The 9393-nt window shown below is 41.1% G+C and overlaps 1 pseudogene, besides 5 other annotated features; it reads left to right on the forward strand.

Annotated features, from left to right (window-relative positions):
• Positions 43-789: an enhancer, noted in NCBI's record as "H3K27ac-H3K4me1 hESC enhancer chr11:72953516-72954262 (GRCh37/hg19 assembly coordinates)". NCBI's record gives its function as "activates a minimal SCP1, AML or CMV promoter by ChIP-STARR-seq in naive H9 embryonic stem cells {active_cell/tissue: H9 hESC(naive)}" and the evidence as "EXISTENCE:reporter gene assay evidence [ECO:0000049][PMID:30033119]".
• Positions 435-674: an enhancer, noted in NCBI's record as "active region_5228". NCBI's record gives its function as "activates an Ori minimal core promoter by ATAC-STARR-seq in GM12878 lymphoblastoid cells {active_cell/tissue: GM12878}" and the evidence as "EXISTENCE:reporter gene assay evidence [ECO:0000049][PMID:35858748]".
• Positions 6365-7564: an enhancer, noted in NCBI's record as "BRD4-independent group 4 enhancer chr11:72959838-72961037 (GRCh37/hg19 assembly coordinates)". NCBI's record gives its function as "activates an origin of replication core promoter dependent on BRD2, P300/CBP, MED14 and CDK7 cofactors, and independent of BRD4, by STARR-seq in HCT116 cells {active_cell/tissue: HCT116}" and the evidence as "EXISTENCE:reporter gene assay evidence [ECO:0000049][PMID:35650434]".
• On the forward strand, positions 6888-7441 carry OR8R1P (olfactory receptor family 8 subfamily R member 1 pseudogene; annotated as a pseudogene).
• Positions 6960-7009: an enhancer, noted in NCBI's record as "active region_5229". NCBI's record gives its function as "activates an Ori minimal core promoter by ATAC-STARR-seq in GM12878 lymphoblastoid cells {active_cell/tissue: GM12878}" and the evidence as "EXISTENCE:reporter gene assay evidence [ECO:0000049][PMID:35858748]".
• Positions 7080-7139: an enhancer, noted in NCBI's record as "active region_5230". NCBI's record gives its function as "activates an Ori minimal core promoter by ATAC-STARR-seq in GM12878 lymphoblastoid cells {active_cell/tissue: GM12878}" and the evidence as "EXISTENCE:reporter gene assay evidence [ECO:0000049][PMID:35858748]".

Here is a 9393-nt window from a genome sequence, read left to right on the forward strand (position 1 = left end):
AGTCCTGGCAGGTACCAAGTGGACACTCAGAGACAGAAGGGCTGCAGGTGGGCAGCCAGGCCAGAGGGGGGCAACAAGGGGCTGCCAGGAGTCAGACTAAACCCCGGAAGTGGAAGTGGAATGGCAGGAAGAGATGGGAATGGAGAGAGGGTCCAGCTGCCAGCTCTGTGGCACCCCCTCTCCTTCCCTCCCTCCCACTCTAACTCCCTTTCCCTCCCCACTCCCCATCACCCTCCCCTTTTGCTCCCTGTCCCCAGAATCCTTGGGAGCAAAGGGAGGCGGACAGGGACAGTCCACTCTGTGCTCTGCCCTGGCTGTTTAGTCTACGAAGGGCCCCAGGTTGGTTGGTGCTGCTCTGCTTCCCCCTGGTGGCCAAAGCTGGCAGCAGTGGCAGGAAACGGGGGCTGGGATCCAGACCTTCGCCTATGGGGTGATAAGAAAATGATCCGGCTGCAGCCAGGCTGTTGAGTGTGAGGGTCCGGGGGGAGAGCTGACAATTGAAACAGAGAACACAATTTGCATACAGTGACTTGCCAACATGCCCTGACTTGCCAACAAGGTGACGGTGCCTGGCCCAAACCATGATGTCCGTCTCCTGCACCCCAGCCAGGGGTAGAGATCATTCCCTGCTGAGCAATCCCTTTTCCTGTGGAAGACCACTCTTCACAGGGTCCTGCGCCTCCCCAGCTCAGACTCAGGGACACAGCACATCTGCCTAGGGCAGCCGTGGAAGGACATGGAAGGGTGTAACCATGCTCTTTCCAAAGAATGGGCACCCCTAACTCTCTCTTCTACCCCACTCCGGTAACCCCATCCTCACCAGAGACCCCTGCCCTCCGCACGCCCCTAGAAGTCCTTGTCTTCTCACAGGACAGCCTTCAAAACTGCACTCCATGCCCCGGAGAAGTGTGACTAGCACAGCCGGTTCTCCCAGGAACTCCATCTGGGAAGAAGTTGGGGTTCATCCACCACACCTGAGATGCCTGTAATTTGGATCCCACCAGCATGTCCGTAGGTAAGATGTGTCTGACTCCTGTGGAAGTCATGTGGAAAGGGAGGCCTGAGTTCGGGGTCCTTGTGTGGATCCAGAAGCAGAGGTAAGATGGGAAGCCTCAGCCAGCCTCCTAAGCCGTCCTCTCAGATCTCTGCACACCTCTCACCCACAAGCTTTTACTCCACATAAACCCAGATGCCCTCATTCACAGCACAGAAAGCACACAAATCCTGGAGTCAGAGGGACTTGCGTTTGAATCCCAGCTCTGCCACTCATCAATCAGGCGACCTTGGGTACCTGTTTTCTCATCATAAACAAAGGGGGTAACTGGCCGGGCATGGCAGCTCACACCTGTAATCCCAGCACTTTGGGAGATCGAGGCGGGTGGATCACTTGAGCTCAGGAGTTTGAGACCAGCCTGGCCAACATGGTGAAACCCCATCTCTACTAAAATACAAAAATTAGCTGGGAATGGTGGCACGTGCCTGTAATCCCAGCTACCTGGGAGGCTGAGGCAGGAGAATTCCTTGAACCCGGGAGGCAGGAGGCGGAGGTTGCAGTGAGCCGAGATTGTGCCACTGTACTGCAGCCTGGGCAACAGAGCGAGACTCCATCTCAAATTAAAAAAAAAAAAGTGGGGGGGGATGGTAACCATACTCACATCATAGTTTATTTATGCTGTTTCTCCTTGCTAGAATGAAAGTTCCCAAAAGGCAGGGATCTGTTTTGGTCACTGCTTTATCCTCCGTGCCCATCAGTGCCCGGCACATTCCTTTCCTTTGCAAAGGAAATAAATTAATTATTTTACAAGTTTCACAATGGCCCTTTGAGGCAGGAACCTTATTATCACCCACTCATTCATTCATTTATTCAACAAATATTTAGTAAGTACCTACTATGTGCCAGGTACTGCTCTGTGTAATGTCCGTAAATCATCAGTGAATTAAAAAAACAAAGACAGCCAGGTGTGGTGGCTCACGCCTGTAATTCTAGCACTTTGGGAGGCCGAGGCAGGCAGATTGCCTGAGCTCAGGAGTTTGAGACCAGCCTGGGCAACATGGTGAAACCTCGTCTATACTAAAATACAAAAGAAATTAGCTGGGTGTGGTGGCAGGCGCCTGTAGTCCCAGCCACTCGGGAGGCTAAGGCAGAAGAATTGCTCAAACTCAGGAGGCAGAGGTTGCACTGAGCCGAGATCATGCCACTGCACTCCAGCCTGGGAGACACAGCGAGACTCTGTCTCTTTAAAAAAAAAAAAAAAAAAAAAAAAAGACAAAGACGATGCCCTTGAGCTCACATTCTAGTAGGGGGAGAGAGATAATAAGCAGTGAACATAATAGAATGTAAATTATATGGTGTGTTAAAAGGTGACAAGCTCTGTAGGAGGCAAAAAACAACAGGAAGAGGGATTGTGAGGACATGAAGGTTGCAATTTTAAATAGGGTGGTTGGGTGAAAAGGAGGCATTTGGGCAAATACTTGAAGGAGGTGTGGGAGTTAGCCAAATGGAAAAGAGCTCCCAGAAAGAGGGACCAGTAAGTGCAAAGCCCTAGGGCCTGCAGCTGGGGTGGAGTGGGCCTGGAGGGGAGGAGGGGAGGCCAGAGGTCGGGGGAGATCTGGTAGGACATTGAATGAGAAGGGAAGCCATGCAAGGTCTGAGGAGGAGACAGAATCTGACTTACATTTTAGAAGGATTGGTCTGTCTGCTGTGCTGAGAATAGACCACAGTGGGGCAAGGTCAGAAGTAATGACTACAGGGAGGAGCTGTTGCAGAAATCCAGGTGAGAGCTCAGGCTGAGGACTGGGACCAGGTGGTAGCAATGGAGGTGGGGAGAAGTGGACCAATGCCAGATGTATTCTGAAGGAAGAGTGAATGGGATCCTTTATGGATTGGATGGAAGGAGGTGATAAAAGAAGAGGGGGTGCAGAGGATGCCTACAATGTTTTGTAGACAGTGACCCTGAGATCTAGAGAAGATGTAGTGTGAGGCCACACAGCTAGTCAGTGGGTGGGGGTGGAGGAGAGGAGGATGGGACCAGGGTGGCGGGAAGGTCCTCAGGTCTAGGACAGCATCTGGGAGAGGATAGGGGGAAGGACTCTGGCATAGCTGGTCACAAACCAGCCCCAGGGCAACTGAGCATTGATTTGATCAATGGCTTTTTCCTCTTCCCTTGAATTCCCCTATGATGGCCTTTTAATTGGGTCCATTTGTTCCAAGGCCGTGGGCTGAGCTGAGCAGACGCCAAATGATATGCCTATTATTAAATAGATTAGGAAATGGCCCTACATCTTGGGCGGCCAGAAAAACCAGAGTGACTGAACAGTGTCCCTGAGGAGTAACACGTGTATTGTGGAATACTGGATGTATTGCAGAATCCCTTCCAGGCACCTTGCCTTTCCTATGCTGTCCCTGCGTCTACAGAATCCTTCTGACTTCCTTGCTCACCTGAAATGTGTCTCCTCCTCCAAGATTCACTTCAAATCCCCTCCTCGGTGAAGGAGCTGAAGGAGCGCGCTAATCGCCACCCCTCCCTCAGCCTGCCTGAGCTACTGCCACAGAGAACTCACACATCTGCCTGGCAAGAGATCCAACCTGAATTGGAGGGTCTGCCCTAGGGGACACTGTCCAAGTCAGGGTTGTCCAGGGAACAGGATTACCCAAAGAACATTTAAATAACAATCCCACTTCAGTAAAAAAAAAAAAAAAGATGTCTCCATTTCCTGAGCTGGAGTCAAAAAGGGTGGCTGGGAGGCAGCAGAGAAGAGGAGTGAGTGTAAATTCCGTGTGATGGAAATGAGTGGCAATTTAAATTCGACTGGAGAAAAAGAAAACTTTCATGTCAGTATCAAACTCAGACCATTTTTAAAAATCGGTTTCTTCCATTTTAGACATTATATACTGGTTTCCTTTTGTGAAATGAGGCTTTAGTTCTCTTCCTTCTCTCATTCTCCCATTGCAATTTTTGATTAAATATTCAGTGCTTCCATTTTTATGATGTCAAAAATGTTGCTCACAGTGACATCTTAGGGCATTCTATGTTTATATTTTCTTTCTTGCATAACTTTTTGTTTTTCCTGGAATTAATAACTGCCTCACTGTACATTCCTAAGAAGGACATATTCTAAGGACAAAGAGAACTAACTCTAAAGAAATCTGAAGCAGTCTTTGTAATCATATTACAAGTACGGTTACCCCTGAACATCATGGGCTTGAACTGCATGGGTCCACATATATGCAGATTTTCTTCTGCCTCTGCCACTCCGGAGATAGCAAGACCAATCCCCACCTTCCACCTTTTCCTCAGCCTACTCAATATGAAGATGAGAGGGATGAAGAACTTTATGATGATCCACCTCCACTTAATGAGCAGTAAATATATTTTCTCTTCCTTATGTTTTCTTAATAACATTTTCTTTTCTCTAGCTTAATTTATTATAAGAATACAGTATATGATATATGCAACATACAAAATATGTGTTAATCAACTATTTATATTTTCGGTAAGGCTTTGGTCAACAGTAGAATATTGGTAGTTAAGTTTTGGGGGAGTCAAAAGTTATATGTGGATTTTCAACTGCGTGAGGGGTTGACATCCCTAACCCCTGCACTGTTCAAGGGTCAACTTTAATACTATTGATGGTGTTAGTTTGAAACTATTACATGTAGTAGGATATAATGAAAATCTAATTATGTTAATGTCACTGGAAACCAACATTTTCAACATAAGAGAAAAGAGATACGAATATAAAATCAAAGAAGAAAAAACTACTATCAGTATAGTCTTGGATTTGGAAACATCTGTATAAACTCATGATGCTTTTTTCTCTTTAAAAAGTATTCTCTATTTCTAACTTCTAAAAAGGCCTGGGAACAATAACTAGCCCTGTGATGCTGAGCACCTCTAGTACCCGCTTCAAAGGTTCTAAATGTATTTCCTATTAAAAGGAACAAGGGCTTCTTGGAGAAATGGCTGATTCTGGGTTCGTGGCAGGAAATGCATAAGATGGGTTCAGAATATTTTGTCATACAAAAAGCAAGTTGTCAGCACTACTAACGTTGTGTTTAAAGGACATAAAAACCAACTTGAGGACTGTGCTGCACAAAGATGGGGTATTTTAAGTATCAAAAAGAATAATGCCTACGATGGATTGAAACATACAAATCTGAAACTTGTGTTTCAATCTATGAGTTTATAATGATACTAAGAGCAAACAAACAAGCAAACGTGTAGGTCTGTTCTGTAGGTTGGTAGCTTATCAATGTATTATTCTGAAAGGCAGGTTAAAAGGAAAAGAATCTGTCTTTCCTATACAAACTGTATTTCAGAGTAACTAAATAGACACCGAGGAAAATTCTTCTTTACTGAACTCCAGCCAATAAATGAAGAAGGTATCACAGAATTAAATATCATCATTTTGCATGCCCTAATCAATTAATGCCTGTAGGCCTGGGGTGTCCAATGTGGCAGCCACTACCCACAAGTGCCTACTGAACATTTGAAATGTGGCTTATCGGAATTGATATGTGGTATAAGTGTAAAATACACACTAGATTTTTGAAGACTTAATACAGAAAAGAAAGATTGTAAAATATCTTGGTTTTTATATAATATTTTTGATATAACAGATTAAATAAAATATATTATTTAAATTAATCTCAGTATTTCTGATTACTTTTTTAATGTGCTTACTTTAACATTAAAAAATATACCTATATGCTTTGCTTTCTATTTCTACAGGCAAGTCTGAGCAGTAATCATCCCAATGGTTGCTAGTCTGATAACACCAGAACCCAATGGCCAATATTAACATCACAAAAAAGAGAGAGAACTAGACATTATGTCCTGCTTTATGGGGTACAAAGAAGTACACACCACCTCCTATGAAGAATTCATAGGTGAACCTGAATTTGATCAAACCTCTAGATCTAACTACCAGTTTTCAGAAAATACAGGTGACTGAGGAAGTTGAGATAGCAATAGGTGATGAAATTAACCAAATCCAGAATTTGAGAACCTTTATAGGATACACGACTCAGTTTCTTTAATGGCAAATTAAAAAAAAAAATAAGTGTGGAGGAGGAGTAGACATCAGAATGGAGGTCAAAGCCAAGGTTCCATCTCTTCTCCCTGCTACAGAGATATGAGGCCCCAACTCCCTAAATACTCAGAAGCCACCTCAGAGGAAACAGGGAGAAAATCTGAAACAGAAGAGAGACTGGACAACATTTTTCTCCAGCCCTCTGTGGGGCAGGCACACATGAGAATCAGCAGATCTGTTACAGGCAACAAAGGAGCTGTGTTTTCTTGGGGTATATATTCCCAAAGGCGATGCCTGCTGGAAATGACTCCTCTGGGCCTGCATTTACTCTTGCTAGGTTGACAAGTTGTCTCCATGGTGGGGAACCTGGCCTTGATTGCTCTAATTGGCTGAAATTCATACCTTCCCACCCCCAAGCTCTGTTTTCTTTCACCCAGTCCTTCCCTGATCTCTATTGTCCTGTTTGCACCCCCAGAATGCTCATGACTTTTGTATCAAAGAAAAACATCTTCTATGTCAGGTGCATGACTCAGCTGTTTTTCTTTTTATTTTAAACACTTTCTTTAAAGACAGGGTCTTCTTGTTCTGTCACCCAAGCTGGAGTGCAGTGGCACAATCATAGCTCACTGCAACCTTGAACTCCTGGCTCAAGTGATCCTCCCACCTCAGCCTCCCAGGTAAGTATGACGATAGGATACCACGTAAAACCACACCTGGCTAATTTTTTAAATTTTTGTAGACATGAGGTCTTGCTATGTTGCCCAGGCAGTCTTGATCTTCCGGACTCAAGTGATCCTCCCACCTCAGTCTCCCAAAGTGCTGGGATTACAGGCGTGAGCCATCGCACCCGGCCTCGCAGCTTTTCTTTCTCTTTATTGTCCTCTCTATAAATACCACGTGTTGATGTTCATAGCCTGTGGTTGCTTTGTGGCCATCTACAATCCATCATTGCATGAGGTCACCATGTCTCCTCAGGTGAGAGAGAGAGAGAGACTGGATTTGCTGGAACCACTCCCACACAGGGCACATACTTAGGCCGACCTTTTGTAGTATTGATGTCATCAACCATCATCTTATGACAGCCTCTTGGTCCTCTAAGTTTCTTGTACCAGCACCTGTGCCAATGAAGTAGTGGTTTTCACTGTGGTGGGTATTAATAGTACAGTATCCAGTCTTTGCTTCTCTTACTTTCATTTAACTTGCTCAAGGCAAACTAAAACCTTTCAGCACCTGCAGCTTTCACGTCAATGCCATTTCTGTTTTCTTTGAGTCAGTGGCATTCATGTATCTCAAATATTTTTCTCCAGGGTCTATGAACCAGGAGATGTTGCTTTCTGTTTTCTGTTACAATTTGAGGTCTGTGCTGAACTCCCTGTTTAAAGCCTGAGGAACAAGAAGAATGCTGGTTAAAAATCCAGGAAAGTGGTGATAATGTAGGGAGATCTGTGATGGTTAATTATATGTGTCAACCTGACCGGGCTAACGAATGCCCAGATGGCTGGTAAAACATTGTCTGTGAGAATGCTTCTCAAAGAAATTAGCATGTGAGTAGGCGAACTGAGTAAATCAAATGGCCCTCCCCAAGGTGGGTAGTCATCATCCAACCCATTGAGGATGTGAATTAAAGAAAAGGTGGAGAAAGGACAAATTCACTCTCTCTTTCTCACTCTCTTTTTTTTTTTTTTTTTTTTTTTTTGAGACAGAACCTTGCTCTGTTGCTCAGGCTGAAGTGCAGTGGCGCAATCTTGGCTCATTGCTGCAAATTCTGCCTCCTGGGCACAAGTAATTCTCCCACTTCAGCCTCCTAAGTAGTTAGGACTACAGGCGTGGACCACCACCCCTGGCTAATTTTTGTATTTTTTTGTAGAGACAGGGTCTTGCCACATTGCCCAGGCTGGTCTTGAACTCCTGGGTTCTTGAACTCCTGGGTTCCAGCAATCTGCCTGCCTTGGCCTCCCAAAGTGTTGGAATTATAGGTGTGAGCCACTGCACCCCACTTTTTTTTATTTTAGAAACAGATGCTCTGTTTCCCAGAGCGATCATAGCTCACTGCATAGCTCACTGCAGCCTCGAACTCCTGGGTTCAAGCAATCCTTCCACCCCAGCCCTTGAGTAGCTAGGACTACAGGTGTGAACCACCACACTTGGCTAATTTAAAAACTCTTTTTTATAGAAACAAGGTATCGCTTTGTTGCCCAGGCTGGTCTCGAACTCCTTGACTGCAGTGATCCTCCCGCCTAGGTCTCCCAAAATGTTTGGATTATAGGCATGACCCACCGCACTCAGCATGCTCTCTTTTTGAGAGGGAACATCCACCTTCTCCTGCCCTTGGAAATTGGGGTTCTGGTCCTTGGGCCTTCAGACTTGGCCTAAATGACACCAACAGCTTTCCTGGTTTTCCAATTTACAGACAGACAGTAGATCATGAGACTTCTCAGATTCCATAATCCTGTGAGCCAGTTCCTAAAGTAAATAAATAAATAAATATGTAATTATTTCCTATACTTCCTTCAAATATAAATATATAATATATATTTTATATTTATATATTTATATATATAAATATATAATATATATTATATATTTATATATATAAATATATAATATATATTATATATTTATATATAAATATATATTATATATTTTATATTATATATTATATAAAATATATAATATATATTTTATATTATATATTTATATATATTTTATATTTTTTATATATTTTTATATATATAAAAATATATATATATTTATATATAAAATATAATATATATAATATAATATTATATATTTTTATATATAATATATAATATAATATTATATATTATTTATATATAATATATAATATTATATTATATATTATTTATATATAATATATAATATTATATTATATATTATTTATATATAATATATAATATTATATTATATATTATTTATATATAATATATAATATATTATTTATTTCTATAAAATATATAATATATTATATATTATTTATATAAACTATATAATATATTATATATAATATATTATATATTGTATATATAATATATGATATATATAATATATAATATATAATATATATAATATACTATATATTATATATATTATATATTATATATTATATATAATATATAGTATATTATATTATATATTATTTATATATATAATATATTATATATTATTTATAGATATAATATATTATATATTATTTATAGATATAATATATTATATATTATTTATAGATATAATATATTATATATTATTTATAGATATAATATATTATATATTATTTATAGATATAATATATTATATATTATTTATAGATATAATATATTATATATTATTTATAGATATAAT

This window comes from Homo sapiens, chromosome 11 (genome assembly GCF_000001405.40).
Source record: "Homo sapiens chromosome 11, GRCh38.p14 Primary Assembly".
NCBI lineage: Eukaryota > Metazoa > Chordata > Mammalia > Primates > Hominidae > Homo > Homo sapiens.